Consider the following 23,870-nt stretch of genomic DNA (forward strand, 5'->3'; position numbering starts at 1 on the left):
CACGATGAGATTTTGTTGACCCCTTCCTTTTTAAGAAAAGATTGTGAAAGTCCTAATTTTATTTGAAGATTTGAAGGCAGAGACCAGGAAAAGGATTTTTGACTGGTATCAAGCGCAAGCCTTCAGGTTGTCTGGAATTGAAAATGTGTAAATTTTCTTTTTGTAGAATGCATCTCTGCACTTACATTCCAGGATCCATTTATGTAGATATTTGCCTTCATTCTCTATTAAATACAGGTTGACCCTATAGTCAGATGATTGCATATGTTGATCAGCAGATGAAGATCATCAAACAAAGATTGGAAGGATCTGAGGGTCATTGCACCAGCCCTATGTTAACCTCTTTAACAAGGTGTTTTACTGTTTATTTTTGTTAGCTGAAAATAATTTTAATTTTAATTTAATTTTATTATCATTTTTTGAGGCAGGGTTTCACTCTGTTGCAGTGGTGCAATCTCAGCCTGCTGCAGCCTTGAACTCCTGAGCTCAAGTAGTCCTCCTGCTTCAGCCTCCCAAGTAGCTGGGACTACAGGTGCAAGCCACCACTTGAGACTAATTTTTTTTTCCTCATTCTTTGTAGAGACGGTATCTAGCCATGTTGCCTCGGTTGGTCTAGAACTCCTGGGCTCAAGTGATCTCCTGCCTTGCCCTCCCAAAGTGTTGGGAATACCAGCATGAGTCACTGCACCCAGCCCGAAATAAAGTTTAAAAAGGAATCTAAAAGATATAGTTTAAAAAAATCCCTAAAGAACAAATGGAACACAGCCTTATTCTTAGCACTCAGAACTAATGGTTAACTCTTTGTCATATTTCTTTGAGTTTTGTTTCTTTTCCTCTATATTGAGAGACAATCACTGTACTTTTTTAAAATAAAAGTTGTATATCTATATGCAACTTTTAAACAACATAGTATTGTTTTGTGTGATTTTAAAAAATATAGGTAGTACAATTGTGTATCATTCTGTATCTTACATTTTTTACTCAATGATATAGTTTTTATTGAGATTTATCAATGTTCATGTATTCTATATGGATGTATATAGAATATACATATAAATGTATATATTTAGGTTATTCTTTTTATTTGCCGTGTGGTATTTCACTGTATGAGTATACCAGATTTTGTTTATTCTTTCCCTATTGGTGGATGTTTAGGTTGTTGCCAGTTTGCTATAGTTTTTAGTGCATATTCACAAAGAGTAGCTCACAGGCTCCTTACGTAAACTCAGTGTCATACGTGAGACAGGACAAATGAGAAAATTCAAACACAGAGAAGTAATCAATTAACTTGGCTAAGATTTGTTACACTCTCAGATAGAACCCCGTTTTTCTAATTCTTCCTGTAAGGATCTTGCACCTACTTTGTACAGCTTTCTGTTTTTCAGAGCTTGGAGTAATATTTAGAAGTTGTAACTGAACCTACTTACATGCAATTTGGGTTAAGAATACCCTATGCTTTTCTCCTTGATATATACATATATTTTAAGCTCTGTTTTAAAATTCTTATTCTGCACTAAAATTAGTTTTAAGAAATAAATATCTATAAGACAGGTATTTTAAAAGACAAATAAAAATCCCGGCAAACTTTTCCACATGCGTGTTTAAATTTTGATGTTAAATGTTAAAGGAAACTAAAAGATCTCTTAAGTAGCAAATTTCCTGAGCTTAATTCTTCTTATAGAGATATGTTCTTGATATATTGCTGACATTTTAATCTAGAACCAGGACTTTAGTAAACACTCCCCCACAAACTTCAATTTCTATTTCCTTTTTGTTCTCACTCATAGGTGGGAATTGAACAATGAGAACACTTGGACACAGGGAACATCACACACCGGGACTTGTCGTGGGGTGGGTGATGGGGGGAGGGATAGCATTAGGAGAAATACCTAATGTAAATGACGAGTTAATGGGTGCAGCAAACCAACATGGCACATGTATACATATGTAACAAACCTGCACGTTGTGCACATGTACCCTAGAACTTAAAGCATAATAAAAATAAATAATAAAAAAAGAAAGAACAAGATTAAATCCTACTCAAGCAAGAGTTTGTCTTCTGTAAACCATGATGACCATGGTGACTAGAAGATGAAAAACTGAAAGTCAACAACAAGTACAATACTTTAAAATGAAGAGTCTAATTGATTGATTGATTGATTGAGACAGGGTCTCACTCTGTTGCCCAGGCTAAAGTGCAGTGGTGTGATCTCAGCTTACTACAAACTTTGCCTCTCAGGCTCAAGCCTCAGCCTCCCAAGTAGCTTGGATTACAGACACATGCCACTATGTCTGACTAATTTTTATTTTTATTTTTGTATTTTTGGTAGAGCCGGGTTTTGCCATGTTGCCCAGGCTGGTCTCGAACTCCTGAACTCAGGGTGATCCATCCACCTCTGTCTCCCAAAGTGCTGAGATTACAGGCATGAGCCACTGTGCCAGGCCAAGAGTAATTTATATAGAGAGTCACTGATAGACTTACAGAATATTGGAGCTGAAAGGATCCAGACTGTAGATGTATGACTTGCCCAAGACCACATAGGGTACTAGCAGGTCTACTAGAGCACATGACGACAATATACTTACACAATAATTTAATTTTAGTTTTCTTATTTTTTTTTGAAAAGGAAAGGCATATTGTTGTGTAGATGTGTTTAAAATTAAGAAAGGAGAATACAATTTTCTATTAAGTAAATATACTAAAATATAAATATTTTACTTTACATTTATGGGGAGAGTTAATTCAAATGTAAGTGTCACCAGTGCTGAGTGTGGAAATACCATCACTGCATATCTAACTGGGAATGATTTACTGAAGAAAGCACAAAACCATCAGGGAAATTGCTTCTGCAAAAAGAAATTGGTCTGTATGGCTCACACTACTTTCAGAGGACTTTCAATGGCTGTAGAACCTTGTTGAAACTCAAGTCTTACTTTCTTGGGGAGTGGAGCATTCCTGTTTTCCCAATATGGATCAGGTACACCTTCTACCTGCTTCTGGAGAGTACTATGTCTCTCTTCATCGTAAGGCTTCATAATTACCTGATTGCGTATCTGTTTCCCTCATTCGATTACAGGATACATATGTTTTGGAACCAGGCCCATCCTTTTCACCATTATATCCAAAATGACTAGCAGAGTGTGGGTTTAGAGCAGGTAGCCATGAAGTTCACTAAAAGACGTAACAGAAGAATGAATAAATGCTCTAATAAGATTGTGTCTTAGGAGGAAATTTGCACTGTCAGGGTTTACGAAGTCTAGAATACAATTTAAAAAATGCTAAATGCCTGTTTCTGCTAAATGAATAAAATGTACTAGAATTGCGTGAAGAAACTTGAAAGTAGAGATTTTCCTTTGCTGAATTAGAAGTGAGTAGTTGAGTTTTCTATTTGAAGATATAACAATATTCTTATATTGTTAAAGAACATTAGAAATCTTGACTTTTACAGCAAAATAAATATCTAGAAGTGAAGTATTGATTATTAATGCAAATATTCTGTGGAATATCTACCACTTGTTTTACGTTTTTTTAATTGACAGAGTGGGAGACCATATTATCACCCATTTTATTTTATACAAATTCTTTAGCTGCATCACTAGCTAAAACAAATAAATGTATCATACTTTAATATCAATTACTATTATTGGATTATCAAATGTAAAAGCCTAAAAATATCTAAATATCACACGGGTTGAGCTATCCCTACCATGGTAATTTAAATATGTTACCTATTTACAAGATACTTTTAGAAAGAAAATATAGGCATTATTAACAAAGTAAAAATGAAATAGATATTTTAATCTAGAATAACTGTGGTTTCTAGTTGAAGATTTTACTTGGTTAATCTTATTTGGGTGTCTTTTCTTTGAAGTTATGAATGCTTTGTAATCTTAGGGCCTTTTGTAGCCTTTAACAGAGTTTTCTCACTAGAGGGCAGCATTTGACTAAATGTCCATCCAAACAGAAGGTTTTTCTGGTGAACTGGGAATATCCATGCAGATCACTTTAATAACTCAGTTAGCAGACTTACATGGATTTCTAATTCGATTTGTTGGGCTGGGACCCAATTTGGTTTGATAAGCCTTTAGAAAGGAATTTTAGGGATTTATTCCAGTAATAAATATGAATTGTTTTTAGATAGGTATTATATCAGGTTTGTGAAAGTCATGCTTACCCTAGAGCTTCTATTGCCTAGCCTTTTAAATGCACGTAAATTATTATATTAAATTATTTATTATTGAAACTGAATAAAAAAAGAATCGGGTTACTGTTTTATAAGCCCCCCTCCCTTTTTTTTTTTTAAAAAAACTCTTCAATTGTATCTATTTCTCAGTTAATCTTATCTATATTATTTCTCTGGGAATTTTGTTTTGAAGTGTGAGCCCTGCAGAAGTGTTATGGATGACTGCAAGAGCTGCTAGTGGAGGTCTGTAACATGGAAGATGCTCTTCCTTTGATCTGAGCCTTGAGGATAACTGATGCTCAGGGACAATGCTTTTACCTCCTGAAGAGCATCCTCAGAGTCTGGTCCACAGTCCACGGAGTGAGGTTGAGGACCCAAAAAGGTAGCCTCATTCTTGATTTTGGCTGTCAAGAGGGTAAGCCATTGCTTGGTTCTCATTATTATTCTGTCAGTGTTGGGACAAAATTTCTTCGATTTTTCAAGATAGAGTTGAATGTGTAGTGGAGACATCTGGGATATGCAGTTTTTCATAGAGATTGGATATGACAGCCAATTACCAAAATACATCCCACCATTAGTTAATCGCAGTATTGCTATGGAAGCCAATGTTGGAGAAAATGGCTTTATCTTAAGTGGCCATTTAAATAGTCTTTTTTGTCCAATGACTTATTGCTCAAAGGAACCATTCAAATAGTTGCAACAGAAATTCATATTCACAAACATACAAGTATAGTACCACATAAGTACATACAATTATGTATCAATAAAAAACATACAAGTATAGGTGTATGTACACATACGTATATATTGTACCATTTAATTTGTATTTTCAAGTTTTTATATAAATTTATTTTGGTGATGACATGTTTTCTAGGTGAAAGTGATAATTACATTTGAATCCTTATAACATTGAAAGAGACACTTCTCTTCCTGTTCCAATTCAAATTTGGATGAAATATCAAAAGTAATTTTTAAAATGCTCTTTTGAGATGTTATACTGGGCTTCTAATGATGTAAGCAGAATTAAATTTCTCAAACATTGTGATGGTTGCACCAGGTAATTTAGGAACAAATACTTTTCTCAAAAAGTCCAGAGAAAATCTAAAAGCAGAAATGTTATTGCATAAGGCACGCAAGCAGAATTTTTTTCATTTTTGTGTTCTTTGGACCTTTGTGCGTATAGTCACATAACAATAACCAGACCCTGCCCAATTCTTTTTCACTATAGATCAATTTGGGAGATTTTCACCACTTCCTTTCTATTTTTTGTGTTTTATGGGGCTTTAATAGCCAGCATACTTTTGCAAAAAAAAAAAAAAAAAGGCATAACTTAAACAGTGTACCCAGTTGTTCCAGGGCTAACTCTATTTTATTTGGTATTTAGAACATATTTGATATTAATATTTACATATTTTTCAGAATTAGAATTAAAGGCTTTAATGCTCTCTACTGAGCATTGTTTCTCTTTAAAAAAAATCAAAAGGAAATAATCTAACCAATTAGATTCAATGAATAATAATGCTTAGATATAAGTAACTGATCAAATGCTAATTTTCTGTTCAGATTTTTATGTTTTTAATGAATGTTTTTGGCAACCTCAGGGAATGCAAGGAATCAAAATGATCCATTTCTACATAACTTCCTCTTCAAGTGTTTGAAGTCTATTTCTTACACTTCCAACCACTTTCTCTGCCTCTCTGTTTGGATAATATATGTCTGTGGACAAAGTGAGAGATACAGAAGTTAGAGGGAAGAAGGAGAATTTCCAAGTCGCCGAAACCTTTGTTCATTCATGGAGCAAACATATGTCGAATGCCTGCTTAATGACATGGACAGTGCTAGGCACTGGAAACACACATAAATAAGATGCAGTCTTTGCCTTCAAAAACTCATAGTCAAGTACAGGCAACAAAAAAGTCAATTGTTGTGGTCCAGTGTGACAGGTGCTTTGATAGAACATATTGCCTGGCTATTATGGAATCATACAGTGAATGGGGTGAATGGGTATCTAAACTCTAAAAATCACGGAAGACTCACCTGGTATTAGCTTGGTACAAAAGTAATTGCGGTTTTTGCCATTACTTTTAAATGGCAAAAACCACAATTCCTTTTTTCACCAATGTAATAAAATGATTCAGGAAGGAACTGGTAGGAGTTAGTTAGAAGAAAGAGGGAGAAAATGAAGGTGGAGGAGAAAGGAGTTTCAGATGGAGGAAACAGCATGTGTGATGTAATGGAAGCAGGAGACAGGATTGCAGGCTGGGAATCACAAGCAGTCACATTTGCTTGGAATAAAGGGGTCTTGTGGAATTATGGAGGCAGGAGCTCCATCATGAAGGGCTTTGTTAAAGATGTATGTTAACACCATTTATTTCCTCTTTACAATTGCCCTGTTATCACCATGTGGCATAGTGATTTGGGCTCCCAACATATGATTTGTGGGAAAGACTGTTGGGACAACATATTTAGCCTAAGGGATTAAGGGGAAAGATCAGCAGTAGAGGGGATGAAAGAAGAACTAATACTTAGGGAATTCGCTAAAAGTATGAAATCTGCCGGGGTTTTAATCTCAGCTCTGTCACTTTCTAGCTGTGTCAACTTGGGAAAGTTATTTAGCCTCTCCATACCCCAGTTACCTTATCTGTAAAATGGCAATAAGAATAATCCCTACCTTAATAGGGTTATTATGAGGATCAAATGAATTTTTGTTTTGTGAAGCTATTAGAACTGTGGGTTTGTTAACATACTAATAAACCTGTTTATAAGTAAAATATTGAATGCCTACTGTGAACCTGGCATTTTCATAACGTCACTTCATTTTGACCTTATTCTACCTCTCTGAGTAACTATTATTCACCCATGTTCACAGATTTTAAAAACTGAGGTTGAAAAGGAGTTGGTAATTGGCTCAGGAGTTCATGGACGCAAACCCTTGACTGGAGCCCATGATGTCACCTGGAGAGAGAGACAAGTAAGTGTGACTCTGGCTTATGCTGGAAGCATGTGGTGCCACAGAGAACAGTGCAGGATTTGGCAAGACCTCTTGGAGAGCTGGACCCCACACCTGTGGGGAGGGAGACATGAGTATTGTGAATCTGATTCTTGCTCCTGCTGGTCCTGAGTGAAGTCCTCACCTCAGGAGAGTCGGGCGCTCATCTCAGAGAAAATACCCTTCTTGGTGGAAGCATACAGACTCCCTAGAGAGAAATGTACTATAGATGCTGTAGCTCAAGGATAAAGACTTTAAGAAACATCAAGGAAAACCTAAAAAATTACTTATTAAATCAATCCTGGAGTTAGAGGCTTAGGTTTTTTGATGTATTTTTCAGGTCTCTGTTCAATTGACATTATAGGTCAGAAGTTAGGAGTATGAACTTTGGAGTCATACTAACTGAAGTTTAATTCCCAACTGTGATATTCAATACTATTATTAATTCCGAGTACTTGCTGGGCATGTGGTAGGTATATACCAGGTACTGAGCTAGGCACTTCACGTGAATCACCTCATTTCATCCTCCCTGCAGTTCTGAGGATTGTCATCCCTGGTTCACAGCTAAGGAGACCAAAGCTCAGTTAATTTAAGTAACTTTTCCACAGCAAAACAGCATGAAAGCCTAGAGCACTGGCTGTAGCATCAGGTTCCTGAGGATGAATCTTGAAATGCCTTCTAGACTGTACAAACTAAGGTGAGTAACTGAACCTCTCTAAGCTGAGTTTCCTCATCTGTAAAAATGGAAAATGATGACCTAATTCATAGGGTTGATATGACACTAAATATATGGGAATACATACGGCACCTAACATGGTGCCTGGCACACACAGTAAGCATAGTAAATAGAGGTAATTTGCTGGCTGACTGTCCATACATGCTCATAGTCAGGAGCACCCATTTTGGTGCCTGCTTAGCTCAGTGTCTCATGTGCTTGCTTCATCTTCTTTATTTTCATCATCAAACACTCAGGGAGCTCATATTGGGTGCTGAGCACAGTTGAAGACCAGAACCTCTCCTAAGAACCAAATGCTTATGGAGCTGGTAATGTGCTGAAGAACTTAAGAGGAGAATTGCACCATCCTGGTTGGGGTGTGCTGGGAACATGTGATAGAAGACAATAATGGCCAGTGTTTACATGACATTTTTTTTTCTTGAGGTTTTAATTTTTTAAAATTATTAAAAAAATTTTTTATGTGTACATAATAGGTATATATATTTATAGTGTACATGCAATGTTTTATTACAGGCCTATAATGCAAAATAAGCACATCAAGGTGAATGGGGTATTCATCCCCTCAAGCATTTATCTTTTGAGTTACAAATAATTCAATTATATGCTTTAAGTTATTTTAAAATATATAATTTATTATTGACTATAGTCATCCTATGTGCTATCAAATAGTAGCTGTTATTAATTCTTTTCAGTTTTTTGTACCCATTAACTATCCTTACCTTCCTCTCAACCCCCGACTACCCTTCCCAATCTCTGATAACCATCCTTCTTCTCTCCATGACTGTGAGTTCAATTGATTTGATTTTTAGATCCACAAATAAGTGAGAACATGTGATGTTTGTCTCTCCGTGCCTGGCTTATTTCATTAAACATAAATTATTTCCACTTCTATCCATGTTGTTGCAAATGACTGGATCCCATTCTTTTTTATGACTGAATAGTACTCCATTGTGTGTAAGTACCACATTTTCTTAATACATTCTTCTGTTGATGGACACTTTGGTTGATTCCAAATCTTAGCTTTTGTAAATGGTGCTGCAACAAACATAGGAGTGCAGATATCTCTTCAACGTACCGATTTCCTCTCTTTTGGGTATATACCTAGCAGTGGGATTGCAGGATCATATGGTAGCTCAATTTTTAGTTTTTTGGGGAACCTCTAAACTGTTTTCCATAGTGCTTGTACTAATTTACATTCCCACCAACAGTGTTCGAGGGTTCCCTTTCTCCACATCCTTGCCAGCATTTGTTATTGCCTGTCATTGGATAAAAGCCATTTTAACTGGGGTGAGATAATATTTCATTGTAGTTCTGATTTGCATTTCTCTGATGATCAGTGATGCTGATCACCTTTTTATATGCCTGTTTGCCATTTGTGTGTCTTTTTTTTGAGAAATGTCTATTCAAATTTTTGTCCATTTTTCAATCCGATTATCAGATTTTTTCCTATAGAGTTGTTTGAGCTCCTTATATATTCTAGTTATTAATACGTCAGATGGATAGTTTGCAAATATTTTCTCCCATTCTGTGGATTGTCTCTTCACTTTGTTGATTGTGTTTTTTGCTGTGCAGAAGCTTTTAAGCTTGATGTGATCTCATTTCTCCATGTTAGCTTTGCTTGCCTGTGCTTGTGGAGTATTGCTCAAGAAATCTTTGCCCAGACCAATTGTCCTGGAGAGTGTTTCCAAAGGTCTTTGTGTAGTAGTTTTATAGTTTGAGGTCTTAGGTTTAAATCTTTAATCCATTTTGATTTGATTTTTGTATATGATGAGAGATAGGAGTCTAGTTTCATTCTTTTGCATGTGAATATCTAGTTTTCCCAGCACAATTTATTAAAGAGATTCTCTTTTCCCCAGTGTATCTTCTTGGCAGCTTTGTAAAAAATGAGTTTCCTTTAGGTGGGTGGATTTGTTTCTGGGTTCTCTATTCTGTTCCATTGGCCTATGTGTCCATTTTTATGTCAGTGCCATGCTGTTTTCTTTACTATAGCTTTGTAGTAGAATTTGAAGTCAGGAAACGTGATTCCTCCAGTTTTGTTCTTTTTGCTCAGGACAGCTTTGGCTATTCTGGGTCTCTTGTGATTCCATATAAATTTTAGGATTCCTTTTCTATTTCTGTGAAGAATGTCATCAGTATTTTGATAGGGATTGCATTGAATCTATAGATTGCTTTAGGTAGTATGGACATTTTAACAATATTGATTCTTCCAGTTCATGAATGTTAAATATTTTTCCAATTCTTGGTGTTCTCTTCAATTTTTTTCATCTGTGTTTTATAGTTTTCATTACAGAGATATTTCACTTCTTTGGTTAAGTTAATTCCCAGGTATTTAATTTTATGCATGGCTATTGTAGATGGGATTACTTTTTAAATTTCATTTTCACATTGTTCACTGTTGGCAAATAGAAATGCTACTGATTTTTATATGTTGATTTTGTATCTTGCAACTTTACTGAATTTGTTTATCAGTTCTAATAGTTTTCTTGTGGAATCTTTAGGTTTTTCCAACTATAAGATCATATCATCAGCAAACAAGGATAATTTGACTTCTTCCTTTCCAATTTGGATGACTTTTATATCTTCTTTTGTCTGATTACCGTAGCTAGGACTTCCAGTAATATGTTGAAAAACAGTTGTGACAGTAGGCATTCTTCTCATGTTCTAGATCTTAGAGGAAGGCATTTTCTATTGCCAAGTATAGTATGCCTGCACATTTTACATATGAGTAAACTGAGGCACAGATATGCAGAATAACTTACCTAATATCCCTTAAGCTTATAAGAGAGAGCCAGGATCTAAATATAGGCAGACAATTTCTGGGTCTCTGTGCTTATAAGCTGGCTTTGAATGATGTAATGACAACAACAACATTAGTAGCAATAACTATTGTTTTTAAGTAATTACTATGTGCCAGGTAATTCACTTTAGTACATTATTGTATTTATTCCTCACAATAACCTTAGGGAGCAGGGTTATGTCACTTGCTTTAAAGGTGAAGAAACAAAAACTTAGAGTTGTCATTTAAGAAATGATGATGAATCTTGTCCAAGAACTTGCAATTAGTGAGTAGCAATTCCAGGATTCAAACTTAGGTTGAACTGGCTCCAAAGTGAAGTAAACATTCTTTCCACTGCTAACTTTGTCTCACGTAAACAAGTGAAATGAGGATGGAGACCTCTCCAAGTAGTTGTGATGACTGGGCTGTGCATGGCATTTGAGGGATCACTAAGGACCATAGTTTGGCTGGAGGAGTATGTGTGTACATGTGTGTGTGTATATGTGTGTGTGTGTATAGTGGGATGATGGAACATAAAGCTTGAGAGATGCCACGGACAGCTAAAACAAGACTCAATTATTGAAATCCTCTAATAATCAAAGGCCCTTCCCACATAGGAAAGTGAGTGTTTTCAGATAAAAAATGATTTATCAGTGCCACTCTGATTCTAAGATGTTAATTCTGACAGCTGTCCTAGGGTTGCCCCAAATCTCCTTAAATTTTCTTCCTTGCTCCTTTTCTTCAGCTTGATCTAAGAGCTGGGTTACCAGACCTCACAAATAAAAACACAACACCAACTAAATTTGAATTTCAGACAAACAAAAACTAATTTTTTAGTATAAGTGTGTCCCACGTAATTCGATAGATGCAACCATATCTGAGAAGCCTGTAGACAGGCATGTTTCCCAGCCATGGAGCCTCATCGGAGGCTAGCACCCAGCCCTGGTGATAGCTTAATAAGCTGCATCTACATATTTTAGGGAAGGTTCTCCCATAAATGGTGCCATATGTCCTATCCTATGCGTGGCCTCCCAGAAAAAGTCTGGCCAACCAGGCTTTACCTGCCCTAAATTTAGAATTCCACATCTGGCAACCACTTAGGAAAAGGGATACAGAATAAAAACTGGCTTTGATGATATTATGCCAACAATTGTCAGTAGATCAGCTGCCTTGTAATGCAGCATGTGTTCCTCATTTGGCTTTGTTAGCTACCAGGAGGTCTTTTTGCAAATAAGGCATCATTACATTCACTGCTACCACTTTTGAAACCTTTCTTTGGTTGATCTCCATTCCCCACCCCCGTCTGAACATGGCACACCACCTTTGATGAGGGCATGCTGCCAGCAGAGCAGATGGCTGTGAACCTTGGCATGCCAGGAAGCCATTAGGTTCATCAGTATGAGCAACAGGGGGTAAGTTTCTATCTGCAAATGTAAAATTAACAGCCCTTGCAGGGCAAAGGGCAGAAGCCCTCTTGATCCAAGGGGGCTGACTTTTCAGTCTCATATATGGTCTCTGCAGAGCTGCAAGTTTAGAGCAAGGCATGAAGGAGTGGCCTCAGGAGAGACCTAGCCCGAGAGGAACGGGCTGCTGAAATTGACAAAAGGCTTCATTTCTACTTGGCTAGAGGACTGTGAGGGCCAGGGCTGCTTGTGGGTGACAGCAAGTGAATTCACCAGCAGCCAGCTTTCCATTTCTGTTGAGTAATCTCCTGTAGAGAAGCAGCAAGCCTGCCAAGGACAGACTGTGTTCTAGTTTACACCAGAGACCATAGTGTCCCCCTAAACCTGAATTCTTTGGCATTTACTTATCCAGCAGACACAGGTAAAATGAAAACAGCTTTCCTTAAACCGGGGATGACAATTGAAGAAGGCATTATGGAAAGGATAAAAATTTGTTGGAAAAATATATAGGTTTTCAATTTGTTTTCTTTTAATCTTTTTTTTTTGCTTAAAATGCTTGATCATTAGAAAAACTTCACATACCGCTGGGCACGGTGGCTCATGCCTGTAATCCCAGAACTTTGGGAGGCTGAGGTGGGCGGATCACTAGGTCACGAGATTGAGACCATCCTGGCCAACATGGTGAAACCCTGTCTCTAGTAAAAATACAAAAATAATCTGAGCGTGGTGGCGTGTGCCTGTAATCCCAGCTACTCGGGAGGCTGAGGCAGGAGAATAGCTTGAACTGGGGAGTTGGAGGTTGCAGTGAGCCGAGATCGTGCCTCTGCACTCCAGCCTGGTGACAGAGCGAGACTCCATCTCAAACAAACAAACAAAAAAAGTAAAATACTACAGAAATACACAAGAAAAATGGATGTCTCTTCTAACCCATGTACCTAAAAGATACTTACATTAATGATTTGTTATATATTTGTGTGTGTTATATGTGTGTGATATTTTTCTTGAATATCAGGTGTCCACTTTGAAATCATAGTTTTCTTTAGATCAAGAAACCTATTTTTTCCTCTTTATTAAAATATTCTCATCAAGGTAGAAGTCAATAAAAATATCTTTAGCTGAAGAGAATCAACCTGCCAGACATGAATCTTTTGTTTACTCCTAAATTCAGTGAAATTGCTGGACTCTCTTATTTTCAGTTTTAATGGTCATATTATCAATTTCATGCCAGCCAGTGTAAAATGATTTCCTATTTAGAAATGTTGTGGTTGATATTTCATTACATTTTCTTTTTTAAAATGGTTCCTCAAATCCTCTTCCTATGCTGGTCTCTTAAGCCATTGATGTTGCTCAGATTTTCTCTTGTTGGCCCGTTGCTCTGGTACTGACCTCTTTTCTGACTTCTGACCTATTTATTCAAATGTATGCTAGATATAAGTACTTGGATGTTTTGCATATTTCCCAAACTCTGTTTATCCCCTTGTCTGAGTCTCAATCAATTAATATTAAATATACTACCACACATCAGATCATCCGTGTCAGAAATATGATCTTCCTCACTCTCTCTCTTTTCATAGCTCTTCATACCACATTCAATCCATCATCAAGACCAAGAGGTTTTATTACCCAAATATTTCTCAAATCTTTACTTTCAAAGACATCCTACTTTTCAAAGACTATCTAAATTCATTCCCTGAAAATAGACCTGTTACATTCTGCCAAAATGCAATTTCAGTAAAAACACTTTGCCACAGACAACTGAAGTAATGCCGTCCAAGTACCAAGCTCTCTGTGACCCGGCTTAACCCAGTAGTAGAACTCAAAGATCTAAGAGGAATGTATTGACTCTCTCCCTGAGGAAATTCTCCAAAAGCTATTTCTTTAAGCTGAAAATTTGATAAGATGTACTCCCTAAAATGTATCTGCATCACAGCTGGTATATAGTGCCAAATAAAGAGTTATGTCTATATTTTTGTTTGTTTGTTTTTGAGACGGAGTCTCACTCTGTTGCCAGGCTAGAGTGCAGTGGCGTGATCTTGGCTCACTGCAACCTCCACCTCCCAGGTTCAAGTGATTATCCTGCCTCAGCCTCCCGAGTAGCTGGGACCACAGGTGCCCACCACCACGCCCGGCTAATTTTTGTATTTTTAATAGAGATGGGGTTTCACCATGTTGGGCAGGATAGTCTCGATGTCCTAACCTGGTGATCCGCCCGCCTCAGCCTCCCAAAGTGCTGGGATTACAGGCGTGAGCCACCGCTCCCGGCATGTCTACCTTAACAGACAATTAAGCAAAGATAAGTTTGATATTCCGTTGTGGAATTTGAGCAAGGAAGGCTGCCTGGAGAGAAGGGCTTATCTCTGCTTTAAAATGAGCCAAGTGAGTATCTGTAGATAGGTCCAGAGTTCAACTCAGAAAAACAGTTATGAATCTGTTCTAATGTCAACACAAATGTGTGATTGAGGGCCCGAAGTGTTATTCCATAGAATAAGGCTAGCCTGGGGAAATGTTAAAATAGATTTAACTTGATATCTGACTTTACCTTTAGAAAAAAACCACAAACGTCAAACACTGTAAGCATGCTCACCTTTAGCAATCCTGAATCCTGGTCTGTCATAACCTCCAAGATAAACAATGGTGAAATGTGTACCAATGTCAGTGATCAAGGCTACTTGTTGCTTGAGATCTTGATTTATAAACCAGGTAAGATCTAGGCCAGTGATACTAAATACAATAGATCTAGATTTAGAATAGACATTTTGTAGCCATACTTTCTGGCAAAACTAACAACCAGTACCAGTTGCTCTAAGGCATCAGGTAAATATTAAAAATTTGCTTGTTTTTCTTTTCTCTAAAAACCAGCATGCAGTGATGATAGTGGGAGTCTTCATTTATTCTAAGTATGCTATATTTCATTTTTACCATCTAAAAAACAAGTATTAGAAAAGAACACTGATATTTTCAGTGGTTGTCAAAGTATTGGGAAATGTACTGATGATATGCTATCATGAAAACAGGTTTTTGAAAAAAACCAATGATGAGCGCCATCTAGTCCTAATTATCCTCCAGAGAGTTCTATATTTGGTTTGGAGGAATGTTTGGTCTTAAAAATTACATGAGCTGGAATGGTAATCCTGGAATGGGATGGCGGGAGGGGCGGGGTGGGAAGGGATGGTGGTGAACAGTCATGCTTGAAGAAAATAAACCTGCTGACTGTGTGTTGCTCATCGTCAGCTGAAAATCCTGCAGTCAGCTGAGAACTGTCCAGTCTTCTTTCTGCATCTTTTTATACTCTTTGGATTTCTAAAATTTAACAGTAGCTTTAAAGGTGAGTGAGAGGCCCAGGTCTGGTAACACTCATTGTCTAAGTAATCTGAAACATGGGATCAGGAAGATCAAGAGTGATGGTTCCTTTTGGGAAAACTGAGTCAGTGTTCAGCATCCAAGTTATTCCTGGACATTTCCAACCTAGGAAGCCACCCAGTCTCTTTGGCATTTGGTATTAGTTGGTGGCTGGCCTAAGGAGAGATACTTAACGTATTTATCTTTTTACGCTTCACAATATTATTAGACACAGAGCTGATGTTCTATAAACTTTTGGACAATGGATAGTGGAGATCAGGGCATGCTCTTGGAAGGTGAAACAGTGACATAGCTTTGCAATCAGCACCAGGGAGGAAGTCATTTATGAACAGATGGGCTCTATTGCCTCTATGACAAGAAACATGCAAGTTAGTCTAAAAATCAACTACTTATTTATAATTAGAAAGCTAACCAAGATATACTCAATTTACTTTAGATTGGCGATGTAGTCAAATTTTACCAAGGTCTATCCATGGGATCAAACAGGACACGGTATCTTGGGTTGGCCAGAAGTCCTTAAATAGTGAGGCTGGCCTATTATTCCCTTTTTCATGGCTCCAAAGAGAGTAGGGAAAACACTGAACTGTCCAAAATCAAAGTAAAATTTTGCAATATTAAATCTCATCACATCAGCTTCTTTAATGTGTGATATGGTTTGGGTTTGTGTTCCCGCCCAAATCTCATGTCAAATTGTAATCCCTAATGTTGGAGGAAGGGCCTGATGAGAGGTGATTAGATCATGTGGGTGGATTTCCCCCTTGCTGTTCTCATGATAGTGAGTGAGTTATCGCGGGATATGGTTGTTTAAAATTGTGTAGCACCTTGCCCTTTGCTCTCTCTTCCGTGCTTCCCCTTTGCCTTCTGCCATGATTATAAGTTTCCTGAGGATTTCCCAGCCATGCTCCCTGTAGAGCCTGCAGAACTGTGAGCCAATTAAACCTCTTTTCTTTATAAATTACCCAGTTTCAGGTATTTTTTATAGTAGCGTGAGAACAGACTAATACAATGTGGAAATATAATTTTCACTAATTTTTCAGCTGGACAACTTTCCTTATTTATTGAACCTGTAAATAAACTTAATGTTGACACATTGAGTTTTTTCATGCATTTGACAAAAGAGATGGAGATCTAACTGGACCTAACTTCATTAGTGAAATTGGAAGAAACCTGAAACTGTGACATAGAACAGGAAATGGGGGGGGGAATTCTCAAACATTTCAGAGTCATAAAGAGAGATATGAGGTATTGCTTTCATTACGCAGGGAAGCAATAAAGTGATGCTGCAGTGGAACAGTGTGTTTTGACAGCCTCAACATAGTTAAGTGGACTCAATCCATCTCATACATCCCAGTATAACTTTCCTTTTGTTCTTTCAGATCAGAACTGCCTTTTCTTAAGCCTTGGTATTTCAGGTGGTAAAATGTGAAATGGATTTTTGAAGGCAAAATGTTTATTTGGTTTATCACTTGTTTATGTCCTTGAATTTTCTTGTAAGAGCAGAGTCTGAATACATGTAAACCACCAGGTGGTTTTCTGGCTTGGAAGAATGCAGAAAATGAATCTTTTATTTATTACATCATAAGAGTTCTCTGTATTTGGTATGAGTAATCATTGCAGCCAGTGCCCACTAGCCTTTTATTAAAAGTATAACTGTAAAAGAAGACTTTTCTTTTTTATTTCTTCTTTAATATTTGCTTTAGTCTTTGGACTAAAGAATCCTTGCCAATGGTCATTGACCCATTCGTAATAAGACTTAATAGAGTTTAAAGCCTTATCAAGAGCCTGGTCATCAAACATGCAATAATAACAATGCCATGTCCAGCACTGTTTTGGTGCAGAGTCATTGCTCAGCAATTGTTTGTAGGATAAAAAATACACCTTAATTCTATGAGGCTCAATCTAAGAGGTGATTATAATGATGTTTTCTGGGGTTGCTTTTGAGTTTAATGCTTTAAAAATTATGCATATTTTATATAAAGAAAATAGTGTGTGCAAAATTCTTTCCTAGGGAATGTCCCTGTCTCCTCTACAATGAGAGGAGAGCAAAACTGGAGCAGGTTTTAGCTTCAGCCAGAAAAAAAATTGGTTAGAGGCAATAAAGAAGCTCCCAGTGAAGTTTATTAAATCCTGGACTAAGCAACTGGTGACGGTGGTATTGCTGGTGAATCTCCTATAAAGAAAAGATCTTTCCTGGCTAACACGGTGCAACCCCGTCTCTACTAAAAATACAAAAAATTAGCCAGGCGTGGTGGTACATGCCTGTAATCTCAGCTACCCGGGAGGCTGAGGCAGGAGGATTGCTTGAACCCGGGAGGTGAAGTTTGCAGTGCGCTGAGATCACGCCACGGCACTCCAGCCTGGACGGGATGACAGAGCAAGACTCTGTCTCAAAAAAAAAAAAAAAAAAAAACACAAAAAACAAAACAGAAAGGATCTTATAAAATCACCAAAATTTCCTTCTTTGGGATGGTATAAATCAGATCTTGATCTTGATTGCAGGCAGGGATGAAAATAGATGGCTGTGAAGACCACCTGTCCCTTCCTAAAATGACATTTGTTCACTTCATTCTGGAAACCCCAGGCCTTTGGAGAAGTGTCAGTGCCAGGTCCCTGTGTTGGATGTGGAGGCAGAGCCCGCAGGTCATCTTTACTCCACTCTGTGATAGCTCTCATCCCTGGACATTCACCCTTTCTCAGGCAGCCCACCATTCTCACTCTTCTGTCCCTGAGTTCTCAGGGGAAGGCATGTTTCCTGTTGCCAGTATGTTGCTGCTTAAAGATTTTCCAGGATTTAAGTGTAATCCCCAAGGTGTTGTTAAACACACAGCACTAAGTGCAACACTGGAGGGAGGCAGTGGAATTTAAGTTTCCTCTGAGATGATCACTTTTATTAAAGGAGCTCTCTCACCCAAGGAAAGAAAAAGAGCGACAGTAAAGTACCAACTGTGGTTAAATAAGAGGTACCCGTATGGACTGCTTGCCAAGAATAGCTATAGAAATATCAGGAAATAATTTTGGGCACAAGAGGAACAGGCCAAATAATTAAAAGCACAGATTTGTGATGCCACATTTATTAGGATTCTTTGGGGCCCTTATTCTGTAGAACTCTTGGTTTGAAATCTGTACATGTTACATCATTTCAGGAACATGGAGGAGCTAACATGTAGATTAAAATGCCTGATACGTTGTCAGGCATTATAACAAGGAATAATATGTAGGGACTGGGGTGAAATGGCAGAGTTATGGGAGCAATGTATGGAGAGGAGTTCATATTTCATTAAAATAAGTTTCTAGATGTTTGAGGTGGATGGAGTGAGCCTCCAAATGATCCTAGCTGGGATGAGAACTCAAATATAAAGATAGACAAAAAACTTAAGATTCTTTGAATTGAAGGATGAGGAGTTCCAATAGAAGTGACATGAACTCATCAAAAAATCTTGGAAAAGCAGGACTAGTAGACACCCTCCTTCAAATGGAGATGAAGCAAGTTGCAGTAACATCAAAAGTTAATGTTAAGCATTGAGTTTCCAAGTCCAGGGAGCGATAATAGAGATAACTTCTTAAAGAGGTATAGATAAATTCATGGTTGGTAGGTTCATGAAAACTATTTAAAGGAAATATTGATGTCTGTGATTAGTCATAAACCTTTTGATTGATATCAGGGAGGACGGTCTTTGTCTGTCTGAACCATACACTTATTGCCATAGTTGTAGGCTTTTTAAAAAAATTCATAATAGTTTTCTTTTCACTTTGGCTGATGAACTCTTAAATTAGGCTTTACAACCCATCTCAGATTGCCTTTGCAAAACTATCTGGCCTCCTTATTTCCTGAATAGTTGTCCACTCTTCCTTTTCTCTGCTGCCTTGTCATGTACAGCTCTCTATGATGGTATGCATACTGCAGTCTGATTGTTTGTTTACTTCTTGCCTCACTCTCTTGCTTGACTGTGGGGCCCCATCTGCCATCGGTGTTGAGCATGTTCTAAAAAGGAAGTCCAGTTTTCAAGCTAAGTGGCTAAAAATCTTTTTTTTGAGACAGAGTCTTGCCCTATTGCCCAGGCTGGAGTGCAATGGCACAATCTCGGCTCACTGCAACCCCTGCTTCCTGGGTTCAAGTGATTCTCCTTTCATAGCCTCCTGAATAGCTGGGATTACAGGCATGTACCACCACGCCTGGCTAATTTTTTGTGTCTTTAGTAGAGATGGGCTTTCACCATGTTGGCCAGGCTGGTCTTGAACTGACCTCGTGATCCACCTGCCTCGGCCTCCCAAAGTGCTGGGATTTCAGGGGTGAGCCACTGCGCCTGCCCAAAATTCTCTTTTAAAATTCAGTTTTCCAGCCATTTTTGATCCAATGCAGTGCTTATATTTTCTGTTGAGTGAAATAATTATCTAAGGCAATCAGTTTGTTTTTACTGTTTTTTAAAGAAAAAAACAATACCTCAATGATTTATTTAGGGTTTCTGCAAAATATTCCAAATGATTGCTCAGATTGTCCCCTTCTCCCTATATCCTTTAAAAATATTCCTTCAGAATCCAGGAATTTTGAATTATGTCACCCTCTTTTCCTAAACTCTAGGTGCTTCCCATTATCAGTAAAGTCAAACTCTTCAGCAAGACACTCACAACTCCCCTGATGTGGCACCCACTAACTTCATGCCTTCTTTGCCACCACATCCCCTGGTGTCACTGTTCCAGGCATGTCAAATCACTGAGTCCCTTTTTGTTCTCTTGCCTTTCTTATTTCATTATCATCTGCCTGGGCTTTCTTCCTCCATCTTCCCTTATAGCTAAGTGCAAGTGTTATCTCATCTGTCCCCCATATCCATCCACTCTTAAGGTGATTGTATCTCTAGTTAGCATTTATTTTAAAAATGCTTATATGTCTTCTTGTCCACCAGACTAAGTTCATTGAGCCTTTGAAATCCCTAGCACAGTGCCTGGCACCAAGTTGATGTACAATACATTGATGGTCTTTGATCGATTGGCTCTAAGGCAGTCTTCAAAGATGTATGACCAAATTCCAAATACTGAGAAGAAGAGGTTAACAATATTAGGTTGTAAACAGACTGAATATCTTCCTATTTCATTTCCCTGCAAGAGTGAAGGTGAAACAGATGGAAATGTCTGTATTTAAAGGATGTTTCCATAAATTATTCTGTGTAAAAGACACCTAGGAGCCCACTCAGTCATGAAAACTCAGGCCATTCTGCCTTTGTTTTCATTGATTTTTCAGTTATCCTGTCACAGCCAGGCACAAAATAATGCTAACTAGATGAGGCTTATCTAAGGACACCTTATTAAGAAACTAAAAAAGGACCTTAGAATGTGTAAAGGCAATGCAGAAGCCTTAGGAAGGGGAGAGAAAACGTATTAAGTGTTTTTCAGAAGAGGTAGTTGAAACAGTCCTGAAGCACCTGAGAAAAAGTTATAGAGCATTATTTATCTTCCAAGATGGCACAGCATCTTGAATCTGCCTTCCACTATCAATATTAAAGTTACTCTTTCAGTAAGGAGGTCCTTAGTACCTCTTGTGTGTCAGTACCCTGGCAGGGGCTGGGGAAATCAACACCATCTCTGTCTCCAGGGCACTTGCAGTCTGAGGAGGCAGGTGTGTGGTTATCACACAGTAGGATGAGTTCAGTGATAAGAGAGAGGCAAAGAGCAAAAGGGGCCGTGCACACCTCTGACTGGGTGGGTCTGAGAAGGATTCATACAGACACTTGATTTAATCTTGGTAGATGAGTAGGTGTTCACTGAGTTTACCTGTGGAAGGCATTCCCAGTGAAGGAAACAGCCCATGCAAAGGCATCGTAGAATGAAACCTCAGGTGATGTAGAGAGAAAGCTTCAGGTTACCTCATTTTCCAGTGCATAAACGTTGTGATGTAAGCCCTTCCCCTGGGGGTTGCTGCAACTGGAGTATGACTATGGATCTAAGTGTGGCTTACCCTTATGTCTTTGGAAGCACTGAACTGCTTTGCTTCCCTTTTTTTTTTTTTTTTTTTGGAGGAGTCACCTACTCCTAATCAAGATTAGAACTTTCTTAGATGTTCCCATTCTTACTAACTAGCATTCTTATTAGCAGAAGTGAACAGATAGGGCTTGGGCTGACAAATGGAGGGGCTGACTTGCTTGTTGAGAATCTTCTCTAATGTTTCCTGAGCAAACCCAGCCAGTGGGCAGTGGCAGGGGATGCTGCAGCTGTGTGTGGTTTGTCTACTTGAGACCCATTCTGGCCCTGTTTAAGGAAGTTCTGTTAATTGCTTCAGTTCCCCAGGTGCTCTATCCAGTTCAATAGCTCTGCAGCCTTGGGGGATATCCTGGGGAGCTTCTGATCAGTGGCAGTGGCTGGGATCTTTGAACCTGCTGTTCAGCTGTAACTTTGGCAAAATATAGACCGTTTGAGCAGGGAGAGTTGGCATGTAGAATTAGAATTTTCCACTGGAATAGTCCAAACAGAGGTAGGCAAGAGAGAGAAGAGAGAAAAAGGGCTGGACTCTTAAAAATTAGTGCACTGCCTCATTGCTGTGTCTCATTTTCTCTTTTCTCCCAAATATCCCTTCCCTAGGTGCAGCAAATCAGTGCCACATCCAGTCAATTATGAAAAGCCAAAAAGGTCTTTTGTCTTTTTCTCTGCACATTTGGATAAAACATCTTTGTTTATGACTGCGTAACATCATTTCACCTGGATTTAACAACAGTAATCTGTCATATCTGGAATTAATTTTGATTCATGGCCAAGTGCCCTTATAAATCTACTGATGAATTTTCCTGATGTTTTGAGTGAGTAAGCTCATTGTTGGGCTGGGCACGTGCTCATTGGCTGCAGCTGTGAATTCCATACCCAGTACATCCTGTAAATCTGGCGTAATCTGTAAAATAAATGGCGAGCCAGATTCTCAGACTAGCAGAGCTAGAAGTGACAGGGCCACTGCATATAATCTTGCAATCTGGGCACTGGAAAACTCTAGGGGGAGCCATTGACACATTTTATGATGTAAATGGTGCCCACTAGGGTTAATTAAACCACAATCTTCTCTTTCTCAGAGTCTAAGAGTTCTCGGGCCAACTTTTCAGTCACGTATTTCCTCACTTTTATTTTTTCTGTTTTTCATCCATTCCTGAGGCCAGCTGAGGTTTTTACATGTTTGTACTTGGTTGCTGGCATGGCATAGTATTGTATTTGTCAGGGTAGACTAGGTTGCATGCACTGCAGTAACCAACTGCCTCAGCATCTCAGAGGCTTATGTAACAAAGGTTTATTTCTTGCTTAGTCTTCATGCCCATTATTAGGGCTGTGCATTGCTCCAAGTCATCCTCAGATCCAGGCGGATTTTTTCCTCATAGAGGACAGGGTGAACCACACACTTTCTTTTAAGGCTTCTGTTTGCATTCCATTGGTTAAAGTAGTTCACATGGCTATGTTAGCTTGAAAGAAGGGCAAGGAAACATAACCTTATATGACCCAAAGGATGGGCCCCAGATCACCTGTGAACAGCTCTAATGACGGCCACAGGTGTAGTGGAGAGGAATAGTGAAATCATGGATTTTGAGCTTAGTCAGAAGTTCAAATCCTGGTTCTGCTTCTCCCTGGATGTTTAGTAACTTGCAAGCAAGTTGTGTAATCTCTCTGTGCCCCAGTTTCCTTACCTGTGTAAGAGAAGTTACTAGTATTTTCTCATGGATGATGGTGATATGCCAGTTTTGTAGTAAGGGACCCTCAAAATTTCTTTTGTGTCTCTCTGCCCGCTCTCCACCTAGGGTCCCCCATAGTGCCTACACTTTGTATCAGTCTGCTTAATAAGGGGAGATACTGTCCCTGTCTCCCAGCCAACAAACAAGAAAGCCCTGGTGACATTTGCCAAAGCTCATGAAAATAGCTATTAGGAAGGCAAACTGTGCTTAGAATAATATTAATTGGACTTTAAGCTCATTAGGAATTAAAAACAGCAACAAAATTTTCACCTCTAGCATAAGGGGAAAAAAATCCTTGAGAGCCACATAGCTCCCCACTAAAATGCATAGCTGCTGACCGTCTGTAAATGCCCAGAGGATTCTCTTTGCCTGGCTACAGAGGTTCAGGATAACATAGCAGATGCGAATGACTTCAGGATACCTTTCATGCTTGGCAGGCGTCCCCATTTTATTTATGATATCAAAGCTGCTATGCTGTGTTCTCTTCTGCTGAAGACATAAAAGAGATTCAGAAGTCATCCAAATCATCTTGTAATTAATGTTACCATGCACGCCCAGGACATTAAAATGTTAACAGTGTTAGAATCGTGTGCTTTGGAATACCGAGTGAGGGCTTTATTAGAGAGAAATGCTCAGCAGATGTCATCCACCCTAATTGAGGACATCAGGGTGCCTGCTGCTTGTTCTTATCAGTGGTGCAGAGTGTTTTTTTTTTAATTTATTCA

The 23,870-nt window shown here is 38.4% G+C and overlaps 1 long non-coding RNA gene across 1 annotated transcript, besides 1 other annotated feature; it reads left to right on the forward strand.

Moving 5' to 3' along the window:
* The first annotated feature begins 4,377 nt into the window (after positions 1 to 4,377).
* On the forward strand, positions 4,378 to 7,809 carry LOC105378848 (uncharacterized). The gene is made up of 3 exons (XR_947587.2): positions 4,378 to 4,599; positions 7,054 to 7,155; positions 7,709 to 7,809. It is a non-coding gene; the product is annotated as an uncharacterized LOC105378848 (long non-coding RNA).
* Positions 21,472 to 21,973: an enhancer, noted in NCBI's record as "NANOG hESC enhancer chr1:90597824-90598325 (GRCh37/hg19 assembly coordinates)". NCBI's record gives its function as "activates a minimal SCP1, AML or CMV promoter by ChIP-STARR-seq in naive H9 embryonic stem cells {active_cell/tissue: H9 hESC(naive)}" and the evidence as "EXISTENCE:reporter gene assay evidence [ECO:0000049][PMID:30033119]".

This window comes from Homo sapiens, chromosome 1, assembly GCF_000001405.40.
Source record: "Homo sapiens chromosome 1, GRCh38.p14 Primary Assembly".
NCBI classification, from domain to species: Eukaryota; Metazoa; Chordata; class Mammalia; order Primates; family Hominidae; genus Homo; species Homo sapiens.